We start from the raw sequence: 14,078 nt of genomic DNA on the forward strand, positions 1-14,078 counted from the left end.
ATTGGATTTGAGTCCCACCCAAGTAGTCCAGGGTGATGTCATCTCAGGTTCTCTAAAGACGCTTTCTCCAAGTACGGTCACACTCACAGGCTCCAGGAGTTGGGATGTGGGCATATCCTTCTTAGGGCCACCAATTCAGCCCACCGTCATGCACGGCAGTGCAACTTGGTTGACCATCGTCTGCGTCTGCACTGCCCTCAGTGCAGTAAGCCACGCTTTCTGTGCACACCGTCTTAACGTAGCTGTGAGTCCATGGGATGCCACATGGTGGGGAAATGGGAAACAAAACAGCCAAGAACTGAGACGGGCAGGCCTGGCCGTGTTGTGGGAGCCAGAGCTGTTGGGACTGCAAGCCCCATTGTGAAAGGCTGCAGAGAAGGTGACATGGATGAAAGAGTGATTTAGGTGTCAGTTTCCCTTAAGAGCAAAGGGAAGGAGAGAGGGAGATGGTTGCTCATGGTGGAAGCAGGAGATGGTGCATTAGGAGATTCTCATTGTCAAAGGCAGAGGGGACAATCCACACACAGTGCAGAGAACAGAGGGGCTGGGGTCGCATGCCAGAGCACTGAGCATGCCTTGGGAGCGTGATTGACACATCCTCCTGTAAGAAGAGAGGAACGGGAGAAAACAGGATGACGAGGTAGAGAGGATCTGAAGAGGAGAGGGAGGTGCAGGTATGCGCAGGTGATAGCCTGATGTGCCATCTACATCCATTGAGCATTTACTGAATGCTAACTATATGCCCAGCAAGACACACAGGTGAGAAGGCATGGCACCTGTTCCCAGGAGGGCCTGATCCTTCAAGGGGCACAGACAGAGGCATGAGTGAGAGCCGTTCAGGGCAGGAAGGGCTAGGAAGCAGCTCCAGGAGGCATGAGCTGCAGTTTCTGTGCACAGGGGGAGCTCCAGCTTGTCTTAGAGGAGAGGGAGCAACAAGAAGGTTCACAAGGAGCTGTTCCAGCTGAAGAGTGAGGATGTTCCAGGACAGAGACACTGCTTTATCAAAGGCAGAGAGCCTGGGGAGTCAGTGTGTTCTGAGTGGGGACAGGCTGGTGTGTGTGGGGAAGGCCACAATGGAGGATGAAGCTGCTGAGGTAGGCAAGGGTGAGCTTACGTGGGCCACGCTTCATTTTCTTTTTTTTTCGAGACAAAGTCTCGCTCTGTCCCTTAGGCTGAAGTGCAGCTGCTCAATCTCAGTTCACTGCAACCTCCACCTCCCGGGTTCAAGTGATTCTCCTGCCTCAGCCTCCCAAGTAGCTGGGACTATAGGCTCATGCCCCCACACCTGGCTAATTTTTGTATTTTTAGTGGAGATGGGGTTTCACCATGTTGGCCAGGCTGGTCTCGAACTGGCCTCAAGAGATCTACCCCCCTTGGCCTCCCAAAGTGCTGGGATTACAGGCATGAGCCACCGCGCCTGGCCTATGTCCATTTTCAAAGCACACAGGACACATGGCAGTATCTGTCTTTTCCCTTGATATTAAAGGAACTTGAGTGTAGGGATATGATCACATCTGGGATTTGGGGAAGTCCCTCTCCAGGCAGCTGGAGGATCTGAGTCCCTGGCCAACCTCAGCACTGAGAAGGGCCGCTCAGCAAGGCTGGAGTTGAGCCGCCGCTGTGCAGCACAGAACAGGGTGGGGCAGGAGCTGGGGCAGGGCCTGGCTGGGAGGGAGCCAGGCAGTGCAGGAGCCATCCCCTGCCATACTTTCGGTCCAGGGCAGAAGCACAGGAGGCCAATGCCGGGCCTCTCCCCAGGCATGGTCAGCAGGGAAGGTGCAGCAGGAGGACCAGGAACGGGAGGCTTGGGTGCTTAACATGGCTTCTTGATGTGTGGGCCTTGAGGTTTCGCTGGAGGGGAGGATGTGGAGCCAGGATGGTTCCACGGCCTGAGGGACACGTGAGGGGATGAAGGACTGCAGGCCGAAGTGAGTGTCAGGTGTGGGGCCTGGGGGGCTACATGGGTGGGTTGGGGACCATGCAGGGCAGAGATCAGCAGAGGGGTGACCTGAAGATTGGCCGGCGGTCGTGGGCTGTGAGCTGAGGAGGCTCAGGTAGCTGGAATGGGAACCCCTGCTTGACCCTTCGGGCTGGGAGGGGCAGTGGCTGCAGCCCCTTGGGAGTCAGGGTGTCCTTGTTTCTTCTCAGCCAGGTCATAGAGGATGCAAGCCACAGGAATTCCCATAGCCTTTGTGTGTGTGTCTGTCTTCTACCTGGAAAACAGTAAGAATACTTTCCTGTTCTTTTCTTGTAAAAGTTCATTAAGGGGCTGGATGCAGTGGATCATGAATCCCAGAACTTTGGGAGGCTGAGGCAGATCACCTGAGGTCAGGAGTTCGAGACCAGCCTGGCCAATATGGTGAAACACCGTCTCTACTAAAAATACAAAAATTAGCTGGGTGTAGTGGCACACACCTGTAATCCCAGCTACTTGGGAAGCTGAGGCAGGAGAATCGCTTAAACCCCGGAGGTGGAGGTTGCAGTGAGCCAAGATCGCACATCGCACTTCAGCCCAGGCGACAGAGCAAGACTCTCAATCATAATCAATCAGTAAAGCTGATGAAAATAAAAAAGCCTGCAAATTAATGTAGGCACCCAGGTCTCCTTAAATTTAGAATCCTTTCCTCAAAAGTCTCCGTTGATACAGAAACACTTTTGAAGCCAGATGTGAAGCACCAGTTGACCCGCAGGTGGGGGTGCCAACTGGTAGGCTGTAGGGTTAGCTCTGGCCTCTGGCAGCCAGCCAGTTGTCTCCTAAGAAAATACTGTGGCGTGAATGCAAAATGTGATTCATCACTTGGCTCCTAATTTCTTTTGATTTTGTCCCCTAGAGCAAGGTCCGTGGTCCTGTCAGTGGAAGCCCGGATAGCATGAATGCCTCTCGACTTAGCCAGCCTGGGCAGCTGATGTCTCAGCCCTCCACGGCCTCCAACAGCTTACCTGAGCCAGCCAAGAAGAGGTAGGTCCTCCTTAGCAGTGCCAAGTGTGACCATCAAGGGCACGTCAGGAGATCGGGGATGGAGGCGTTTGTCACTGGTAAATGTCTGTCTGATGGTATTACCACCTCTCTGGATGTTTGTTGCATCTGCTGGGTCCTGTGGGGACAAAAGTGATACATGTTTGGCTCTCATAGTCCCTTGAAACTTACTAACTAGTTTCTTTGTCCAAGGCTTGGATGACTAACTGCTTAATGAGAACATTGGAAATGCTGGTCAGGCACATGCTGTTACCCTTTATCCATAGGAAGCCACATTCCCTTCAGGGAGGCCCTGAAGCCCTCTGCCCCCACTCACCCTACCAGTACCTTGAGTTACCGAGTCACCACCCTCCTCCCGGTGCCACTGACCTTCCCATTCTTCCCGTCCTCTCCCTCCTCTTGCCTGAACCATCGCAGCAGAGGTGGGGGCAGGGCTTTCTGCCTCCTGCCTCCTGCCTTTCTGCTGCCAGGCCCTGTGTGGTTGAATTAATCTTCACGAAATACCACTCTGACCAAGGTGTTCCTTAGTCAGTCATAAATAACAGCTTCTCCCTCCATTATAGATGCTCAGGTCTGAGCTTTCGTCAAGTCTCATCTGGGCCAGCAGTGCATCATCAAATTCTCAGGTCCTGCTGGAGACCTCACTTGAGAGCTCAGGGTTGGGGCCCAGCAGTCTGTGTCTAGCAGCCCTCCGCCCGTTCTCCAGCACACTGCAGGCCACTTCTGCTCCCACGCCCATCTCTTCCTGTGTTTTGTTTTGTTTGACACCTTCTGTGTGCAGGGCTCTATGGGTTCCTGCAGGCTAATCTCTAGGCATGGGAAACACCGATGATTACCTGGGGCAGGGGAGGAGGTTGGGAGTGACTGATAATTCAAGGTTTCTTCTGAGGATGACGAAAACATTCTGAAACTAGATATGGTGATGGTTGCACAGCTCTGTAAATACGCGAAAACCCTTGAATTGTACACTTTAAATGGGTGAGCTTTATGGTATATAAATTATATCTCAATACAGTCTGCTTTGAAGAATCTTGTTCTTGTCCTTGGGAGTTTGTAGCCTCTTTTGGTGTTTATGTGACCTTGGATACTTAATTTTCTCTTGGCTGTATGGCACGCGCTTGTAATCCTAGCACTTTGGGAGGCCAAGGCAGGAGGTTCGCAGGAGTTCGAGGCAAGTCTCCTGGGCAACATGGTGAGACTGTCTCTCTCTCTCTCTTTTTTTTTTTTTTTTTTTTTGAGACAGACTCTTGCTCTGTTGCCCAGGCTGGAGTGCAGTGGCGCGATCTTGGCTCACTGCAACCTCCACCTCTCAGGTTCAAGTGATTCTTCTGCCTCAGCCTCCCGAGTAGCTGGGACTACAGGTGCATGCCACCACAACCGGCTGATTTTTTGTAGTTTTAGTAGAGATGGGGTTTCACCGTATTAGCCAGGATGGTCTCAATCTCCTGACCTTGTGATCCACCTGCCTCAGCCTCCCAAAGTGCTGGGATTACAGGCATGAGCCACTGCACCCAGCCTTTTTTTTTTTTTTTTTGAAATGGAGTTTCGCTCTTGTTGCCTAGGCTGGAGTGCTATGGCACGATCTCAGCTCACCTCAAACTCAGCCTCCTGGGTTCAAGCGATTCTCCTGCCTCAGCCTTCCGAGTAGCTGGGATTACAGGCATGAGCCACCAGGCCTGGCTAATTTTGTATTTTTTTTTTTTTTTGAGACGGAGTCTCGCTCTGTTGCCCAGGCCGGACTGCGGACTGCAGTGGCGCAATCTCGGCTCACTGCAAGCTCCGCTTCCCGGGTTCACGCCATTCTCCTGCCTCAGCCTCCCGAGTAGCTGGGACTACAGGCGCCCGCCACCGCGCCCGGCTAATTTTTTGTATTTTTAGTAGAGACGGGGTTTCACCTTGTTAGCCAGGATGGTCTCGATCTCCTGACCTCATGATCCACCCGCCTCGGCCTCCCAAAGTGCTGGGATTACAGGCGTGAGCCACCGCGCCCGGCCAATTTTGTATTTTTATTAGAGACAGGGTTTCTCCAGCCTGTTGGTCAGGCTGATCTCGAACTCCCGACCTTGGGTGATCCGCCCGCCTTGGTCTCCCAAAGTGCTGGGATTACAGGCGTGAGCCACCGCACCCGGCCCTTTTTTTTTTTTTTTTTTTTTAAATAAAAATTATTTCCCCAACCTCTCATGAGCTCCTGGAGTATAGTAGCTAGACCGGGAGCCTGTTCCATTCCCTTCTGGGGCAGGCACTGAGCCTTTAGGCTAGCTAGAGGCCCCATAGATGAGGCTTGGCAGAAATGTGCTCTGAGCTCCTGCCATCAGATTGTCACATTTTGCAGAGTGAGAGGAGTTCCAGGGCAGTCTTCCTTTATGTGGCTTATTCCCTTCAGTGATGTCCTCAAAGGTCTAGAAAGGTGGACCTGGGTATATAGGATGTCTCTCGTCTCCCCACAGCATAGAGCTGAGGTTAGAAAAAGACGGATGTTTTACTACATGCTGCTCTTTTTCACTGTGGCCCAGTCCTCAGAGGAAACATGGGTTTCTTATTATAGAAAAGAGAGAGATCAGATTAGATGAAACCAAATCCCAGAACTTGATTTTCAACAGATTCCAAGGAACTGTGAATCCTGATAAATTCCTTGGCCTTTTTTTTGTCTACTTCAAAAATTGGAAAACAGGTGATTTGGAGAATATCTTTAGATTTTGGCAGTTTGAAAATTAAATTCAGCTATCTAGTAAGTCAGAAAGCAGAAAGAGGTTTTTTTGCTTCTGACTTTTATTGAGATCTGTTTGCTTTTTTGCATTTTGGACAGTAACGCTCATATGTGGAAAGTGCATAACAAGATGAATGAAAGTATTAGTCAGTGGGTTGGTGTTTTAAGACACTCAGGATCAAAATAATTGTTACTTCATTTAAAAAGTATTATCAAAACTCTCTAGCATATTTTAAAATAGCAGTGTTAGCTCTGATAACTAATAATGACCACTTTCTAATAATTTGATCATTTTCTTTAGTGAAGAACTGGTGGCTGAAGCACATAACCTCTGCACCCTGCTAGAAAATGCCATACAGGACACTGTGAGGGAACAAGACCAGAGTTTCACGGTAACAGCTTGTGTGAGACTCCTGCGATTCCATGTCCTTTCTTTCTATGGCAAAATAGAAGAGAAAATGGAAATGCAATCTGGCATTATCCTCAACCTCAGTGTTTGTTTGTTTGCTTGTTTATTTGTGACAGGGTCTCTCTCTCTCACCCAGGCTGGAGTGCAGTGGCATGATCTTGGCTCACTGCAACCTCCGCTTCCCGGGTTCAAGTGATTCTCATGCCTCAGCCTCCTGAGTAGCTGGGACTACAGGCGTGCGTCACCACATTCAGCTGATTTTTTCAGTGTATATTTATAATTTTCTAGTACACATTTTTTATTATTCATAATAATAGTGATGTCTAACAATTATTGAAGGCTTACAACTACATGTATGCATTATCTTATTTAATCCTTGGAACACTTAATTCCGATGATGAGGAAGAAGGTAGCATTGTTCCCAGAAGCCTGTCCCCACCTGCACCATTGGTACTACTGCTGAGTATTTGTGTGTTGAGTGCTGGGCTGGGAGCAGGAACCAGCCATGGCCTTGTCCTCAGGGCCTTGGAGCTTAGTGGTAGGTAGTACTAGTTATGAGAAAACTAGCCAAGTTACAGGTACATTAAGACAAAGCTTCCATTGTTGAGAGAATCCTGCATCATTTGCTTAGATCTTTACATGGCCTTTACCTGCTAATCACTTGCTAACCTCCCCTAACTTTAAGCTTTTGGAAGAATTACAAGGGATACCACTGTGAATTGCAGCCTTTGCTGATGTAGTCGCATGTCCTCCTCCAGTCTGTGGACATTCTATATCTCTTGCTGCTCTCCTCCTCCTGGCATGATAATGTTTTGATCAGTTCATTGCTTACTTGCATGTCTGTGGGAGGAAGAGGAAGTCTCATCAGGCCAAGTCATGTGGTGAGGCTGGAAATCCATAACTGAGATTAGCTACCCACAGTGAGCATGGGAGTGAGTGCTGTGAGCCACAGTGGTACTGACGTCGACTTTCTAATTCCCACAGTCACAGAATCTCAAGGACTCTGAGCCAATTCAAAGAAAAGATCCTGTACAGTTTGAATATGTAACTTAGCTTAAGAGTACCCTGCAGTCACAAGATTTATTAATAAAAGGGTTTGGCTTTTTAATTTGTATTTGTTTAATTTATTTGTTTTATGCAGCCTGGGTCTTGCTATGTTGCCCAGGCTGGTCTTGAACTCCTGGCCTCAAGCGATCCGCTCGCCTCTGCCTCCCAAAGTGCTGGAACTATAGGCATGAGCCACCATACCCAGCCAATAAAGGGGTTTCAATATATTTCTTTTTATTTTTTATTTTTTGAGATGGAGTCTTGCTCTTTTGCCCAGGGTGGAGTGCAATGGCACGATCTCAGCTCACTGCAACCCCTACCTCCCAGGTTCAAGTGATTCTCCTGCCTCAGCCTCCTGAGTAGCTGGGACTATAGGAGCTTGCCACCACGCCTGGCTAATTTTGTATTTTTAGTAGAAATGGGGTTTCACCATTTTGGCCAGGCTGGTCTCGAACTCCTGACCTCATGATCTGCCCACCTTGGCCTCCCAAAGTGTTGGGATTATAGGCATGAGCCACTGTGCCTGGCTGGGTTTTAGTATATTTCTCAATTGTCCTGATTTCCTCCTGAAGAGGAAAAATAACCTGAAATGTGTTGGTGGCTGTTGTTTTTTTAACATGTCTGTTGACTTTCAGGCCCTAGACTGGAGCTGGTTACAGACGGAAGAAGAAGAGCACAGCTGCCTGGAGCAGGCCTCATGATGTGGGGGGACTCGACCCCCTGACATGGGGCAGCCCATAGCAGGCCTTGTGCAGTGGGGGGACTCGACCCCCTGACATGGGGCTGCCTGGAGCAGGCCGCGTGACGTGGGGCTGCCTGGCCGCGGCTCTCACATGGTGGTTCCTGCTGCACTGATGGCCCAGGGGTCTCTGGTATCCAGATGGAGCTCTCGCTTCCTCAGCAGCTGTGACTTTCACCCAGGACCCAGGACGCAGCCCTCCGTGGGCACTGCCGGCGCCTTGTCTGCACACTGGAGGTCCTCCATTACAGAGGCCCAGCGCACATCGCTGGCCCCACAAACGTTCAGGGGTACAGCCATGGCAGCTCCTTCCTCTGCCGTGAGAAAAGTGCTTGGAGTACGGTTTGCCACACACGTGACTGGACAGTGTCCAATTCAAATCTTTCAGGGCAGAGTCCGAGCAGCGCTTGGTGACAGCCTGTCCTCTCCTGCTCTCCAAAGGCCCTGCTCCCTGTCCTCTCTCACTTTACAGCTTGTGTTTCTTCTGGATTCAGCTTCTCCTAAACAGACAGTTTAATTATAGTTGCGGCCTGGCCCCATCCTCACTTCCTCTTTTTATTTCACTGCTGCTAAAATTGTGTTTTTACCTACTACTTTGGTGGTTGTCCTCTTTTCGGCAAAGTTGGAGCGAGTGCCAAGCTCTCCATCTGTGGTCCTTTCTGCCAAGAGCGACTCATAGTAACCAGGATGGGAGAGCAGCTGCCTTATTCTGAATCCCAAAAATTACTTGGGGGTGATTGTCACAGAGGAGGGACAGAAAGGGTATCTGCTGACCACCAGCCTGCCTACCCATGCCCATGTCTCCATTCCTGCTCAAGCGTGTGTGCTGGGCCGGGGAGTCCCTGTCTCTCACAGCATCTAGCAGTATTATTAAATGGATTCATTTTAAAAATAGCTCCTATATTTTGTAACATGTCTCAAACACTCATACTGGGTTCCACAATCCACTGTTAGAATACCTATGGTTAGGGCTTCTGAACTAAAATAATGGAAAATTTTAACAATTTGTATAGTGCCTGGATCATTACTAGTGCCATAACCCTGCTTCTTCAACATTTCACAGAACTTCTCTTTTATATAAAGGCAAGAGCACAAAATGAGTTCAGATGATCACAAACAGGTGAGTTTTGTTGGAGAAGAAAGTTGGAGTAGGAGACTTTCACAAGTGGTTTCCATGGAGATAGAATGAAGCATTCTGTGGTCAAGTAAGTTTAGGGAGCTATTCATGTTTCACTTGCTTTGTGGAGATTCACACTATGCACTGGGAAAGTATCTGAAAAGTCTTATAATAAAGAAACAGGCTTAACTTTGTGTAAGAACACTGTTTATCAATGTCATTTGGCTATAGAAACATTTTCTCCTGCTGATTGTGTGTGTGAAACATGTATTAACATTCCAATGAACTAGCATTTAATAAAGCACAATTTTGGAAACCCTGGTAAATGACAGTGGGAAATAACACCCGAAAGGCAAGGACGGGCAGATTGGGGAGGGAAAGGATGTTGGGCTAAGGGCTGTGAGCTTATGTTACAGGCAACTGAGCCACTGAAGAATTTTGACGAAGAAAATGCCAACCAAAGCAGTCATTTTAAAAGTTTATGGCTGTTCAGTTACAGGACAAGTTGTGAAAAGAAAGAAAAAAAATGGAAAAAAAAAAAGTTTATGGCTGAAACAGTGTAATTGATTAAAAAGTGAAAATCCAGGCCGGGCGCGGTGGCTCACGCCTGTAATTCCAACACTTTGGGAGGCTGAGGCAGGCAGATCACCTGAGGTCGGGAGTTCGAGACCAGCCTGACCAATATGGAGAAACCCCGTCTCTACTAAAAATACAAAAGCCAGGCGTGGTGGGACATGCCTGTAATCCCAGCTACTCGGGAGGCTGAGGCAGGAGAATCGCTTGAACCTAGGAGGCAGAGGTTGCAGTGAGCAGAGATTGTGCCATTGCACTCCAGCCTGGGCAAAAAGAGCGAAACTTTGTCTCAAAAAAAAAAAAAAAAAGTGAAAATCCAGGAGTTAGTATGTCTGCTTCCAAAAAGATTAGATAGATACATTTTTTCCTCTCAGTAAGTACAGCTAAACTCCTTGGTCACATAAACAAACACAAGACTCTGAAAGGTAGAGATAAGACGGAAGACTATCCCTGGACCTTGGGATCTGAGGAAGGACTCTGGTAGTTATTCCGTGGCTTTTCTTTTTGTCTCAAGGTTGAGTGCTGGCTTCGGAAGGCCAAGGCGGGCGGATCAGGAGGTCAGGAGTTTGAGACCAGCCCGACCAACATGGTGAAACCCCGCCTCTACTAAAAATACAAAAATTAGCCGGGTGTGGTGGCATGCGGCTGTAATCCCAGCTACTCAGGAGGCTGAGGCAGGAGAATCGCTTGAACCCGGGAGGCGGAGGTTGCAGTGAGCCAAGATCATGCCACTGCATGGGTGACAGAGCAAGACTCTGTCTCAAAAAAAAAAAAAAAAAAAGATATGAGTGCTGGAGAAGCCAACCAATGGGCACAGACAAGAAAGCCTGCTCTCTCTACCTGCGTTAGTTTCCTAGACCTGCCCTAGCTAGTTACCACAACTTTGGTGGCTTAAATGACAGAAACTTATTCTCTCCCAGTTCCGGAGGCCAGAAGTCTGAAATAAAGGTGTGAACAGGATCACACCTCTTCTGAAGGCTCTAGGGAGGTTCTATCCCTGGTGGCGTCCAGCTTCTGTTGGCTTTAGGCAATCCTTGGCTTGTGACTGCATCTCTGCCCCTGGGTCATATTGCTGCCGCTTTCTCTGTCACATCTCTGCTGTGTATCTCTTACAAGAATACTTGCCATTGGATTTAGAGCCAATTTGAAAAATCCAGGGTAAGCACTTTGTCTCAAGATGTTTCATGTAATCACAGTTTGCCATATGAGGTAATGTTCACAGGCTCTGGAGATTATGATGTGGACATCTTCTTGGGGGCCACCATTCAGCCCACTACAGTCCACCCTCTGGCACCCCAAAATCCATATTTGTCCTACATGAAAAAGACATTTATTCCTCCCAACATCTCCCAAAGTCTCAACTCATACAGCATGAACTAAGACCAAATTTGCATCTATATATTAGCTCAGAAGTCCTGCATCTCATCATCTAAGTCAGATGTGGGTGAGACCCCGTGCATGATTCATTTTAGGATTAAATTTCTCTGGCTGTGGACCTGTGATACTACAGGTTATCAGCTTCCAAATAACTTTGGAATTTGGATAAATAAATTTATTTAAAATGATGTAATAGGCATATGATAGATGTTCTCATTCTGAAAGGGAAAATTGGAAGGGATAAAGAAGTCACCATTCCCAACCAATTTTGATCTAGCAGAGAAAATTCCATTAGGATTCAAGGCCTGCAAATAATTCCCTAGCTTGAAGTGCCGCCCACTGGGCCCACAACAGTTGTGCAGACCTTTGTGTCTGCTCACAGCAGAACCATGGGCCTCTCTGTACCCATGGTGGCTCCATAGGCCTCTGAGTCTGTGCTCACAGTGACCTCATAGGCCTGTGTCTCTGCATCCATCACTTCTGTCTGCTCCTCTGGCCTCTGCCTCTGTGCCCCTGGCTCTGCCCTTGGAGTCATTCTTGCTTTTTCTTGAAGGATCGCATGTTTGCAGCCCAGTAGCTCTATCAGCCCATTTCTTGCCCGTAGCAGTTTGGATTTCAACAGCCTTTTCTCATTTCACACTGTCTCTGTCACTTCCAGGCTAAGCTGTCTCTGCTGATGTAACATTCTCAAAAATCTTGTGGGTCCCCTGTGTAATGTCATGGAGTTCAATGCCATTAGACAAGAGGGTCCTCCACAAATTTTCTGGGATAATCCCATCTCTATTCCTGACTTCTACTGAGATGGTTGAATGAGTCCAAGAGTCCCATGCTTCATCTCTTCGTGCCACCACACCCAGTACATTTTTCTTATTTTTGTAAAAGAGATGGGGTCTCGCCATGTTGCCCAGTCTGGTCTTGAACTCCTGGGCTCGATCCTCCTGCCTCCACCTCCCAGAGTGCTGGGATTACAGGTGGCCGTGTTTGACACTTCAGCAAAACTGCAATTTAAGTTATTAACTTTATTGAGTACTTACGTGGAAACAAAAATTAAGTCCCTTCTCCCGTGGAGCTGGCATTGCACATTGGTGGGAGGAGGAGTGAGCAGGGAGTGCATAATGTGCAACCACGTGTGAATATTTCCAGTCCTTCTTAGTACTGTGAAGGAAACACACAAGTAAAAACCTGGGCCTGGTCCAGGAACGTGACAAGGGTGTGACTGCCAGGCTGGGACCTGAATGATGAGAAGAAGGCAGCCAGGGAAAGAACCATACAATGAGGGGACAATGCTGAGCAGGCACATGTATGTATGAAATATGGGCGTGTGTGTGTCCTAAACAATGAGAAAAGTGGCAAGAAATGCAGTAGGAGAGCAGGCAGGAGGTGGATCACATAAGGCCTTGTGGGCCATGAAAAGGAGCTTGGATTTTTTTTTTTTTTTTTTTTTTTTTTTGGAGACTCACTCTTGTTGCCCAGGCTGGAGTGCAGTGGCCCGATCTTGGCTCACTGCAACCTCCACCTCCAGGGTTCAACCTCCCTGCCTCAACTTCCCAAGTAGCTGGGATTACAGGCGCCCACCACCACGCCTGGCTAATTTTTGTATTTTTAGTAGAAATGGGGTTTCACCATGTTGGCCAGGCTGACCTTGAACTCCTGACCTCAGGTGATCCGCCTGCCTCAGCCTCCCAAAGTGCTGGAATTACAGGTGTGAGCCACTGCGCCCCGCCAGGAGCTTGGATTTTATCCTAAGTGCAGTGGGAGGGTGTATAAATAGGGACATATTTTGATACTACATCCTAAAAAGATCACCCTCTGTTTGGGGAATATTCTATAAGAGGACAAGAGCAGAAGCAGGAAGCCCACTGAGGAGGCTTTGGTAACAGTTCAGGAGGTCATGGGAGTTTGATCTAGGGCAGTGGCAGCTCGGGATGAGAGGTCATCCAGTTCAGCACATATTCCTGAGACAGAACAGACAAGGTCTGCTGGCAGACGGGATGTGGGGTGTGAAAAGAGCAATTAAAAATGACTCTTATGGGTTTGGCCTGATAGCAGGGTGGATTAAAATGCTATTAACTGAGATGGGGGAAAGTTAAGGAGAAGCTGGTGGGGCAAGAGTCAGGAGTTCTTTAGGACATTTTATCTTTGAGATGCCTATTATGGACTAGAGCTATCCAGTAGACAGCCTGATGTATGAGACTGGAACTCAAGGGAGAGGTCAAGACTTGAACTATGAGTTTAGGAGACTTTCAAGCTAGACATGCCATTTAAACAGGTAAAACTGGACAAGTTGGAAAAGCTGGTTAGAAGACTGAAGTGTGAAGCCATTTCCCATAAAGGCTGGAGAGTGGAGGAGGAGCTGGGAACCAGTGCTCAGGCGCACATGTGCGCACACACACACCCTGCTGAGGACTGGCCAGTGAGGAAAAAGGAAGCCCAGAGCATGTGGAATCTTAGAAGCCAATTGAAGCAAGTTATTTCAAGAAGAACTTTGTGAAGCAGATCAAATGTCGGTTGTTCTAAGACGATAAGGACAGATAATGGATTATTTTCCTTGGTTTCTCTGGCACTAATTTTAAAAATATAGTATTTGTAAAAATGGGCTAGGTGCAGTGGCTCACGCCTGTAATCTAGCACTTTAATAGGCCAAGGCGGGTGGATCACTTGAGGTCAGGGGTTTGAGACCAGCCTGGCCAACATGGTGAAACCCCATCTCTACTAAAAATACAAAAATTAGCTGGGCATGGTGGCAGGATCCTGTAATCCCAGCTACTCGGGAGGCTGAGGCAGGAGAATCACTTGAACCCGGGAGGCAGAGGTTGCAGTGAGCCGAGATCGTGCCATTGCACTCTGGCCTGCGGGACAAGAGTGAAACTCTGTCTCAAAACAAAAAAATTTGTAAAACTGATCCCACAATTCCCTACATTTGTAACTTTTAAAATTCAGAGGTAAATACATTTTTATTTAAGGAGGAATAATTCTTCAGAGCAAAATAATCTGAATATCACCTGGAATAGAGATTGGACAGAAAAAAGTGTGAACAGGGAAAACTAGGACAAGTCATATATGTAAATGAGAGTATAAAGAGTAAATGAGAGTGGTCACTGCTCACTGCAGCTTAACTAATCAGATAGTTAA

General features: G+C 48.2%; 1 protein-coding gene across 15 annotated transcripts in view, besides 1 other annotated feature; it reads left to right on the forward strand.

Moving 5' to 3' along the window:
• The window catches only part of IKBKB (inhibitor of nuclear factor kappa B kinase subunit beta), a 61,159-nt gene extending 51,837 nt beyond the window's left edge, over positions 1–9,322 (forward strand). For 7 of the 15 annotated variants that reach the window (NR_033818.2, NR_033819.2, NR_040009.2 and 4 more), the window contains 3 exons: positions 2,832–2,959; positions 5,986–6,076; positions 7,776–9,322. Coding sequence is in view for 12 of the 15 variants with exons in the window: in NM_001556.3 (NP_001547.1) it covers positions 2,832–2,959; positions 5,986–6,076; positions 7,776–7,841 (285 nt within the window). In the remaining 3 variants the exon portion in view is untranslated. Of the gene's footprint in view, positions 1–2,148; positions 2,224–2,831; positions 2,960–5,985; positions 7,202–7,775 lie in introns of those variants that run through there. The other 8 variants (XM_011544520.3, XM_011544517.3, XM_047421758.1 and 5 more) reach the window with 4 other exon arrangements.
• Positions 7,500–8,000: an enhancer, noted in NCBI's record as "H3K4me1 hESC enhancer chr8:42188156-42188656 (GRCh37/hg19 assembly coordinates)". NCBI's record gives its function as "activates a minimal SCP1, AML or CMV promoter by ChIP-STARR-seq in primed H9 embryonic stem cells {active_cell/tissue: H9 hESC(primed)}" and the evidence as "EXISTENCE:reporter gene assay evidence [ECO:0000049][PMID:30033119]".

This window comes from Homo sapiens, chromosome 8, assembly GCF_000001405.40.
Source record: "Homo sapiens chromosome 8, GRCh38.p14 Primary Assembly".
NCBI classification, from domain to species: Eukaryota; Metazoa; Chordata; class Mammalia; order Primates; family Hominidae; genus Homo; species Homo sapiens.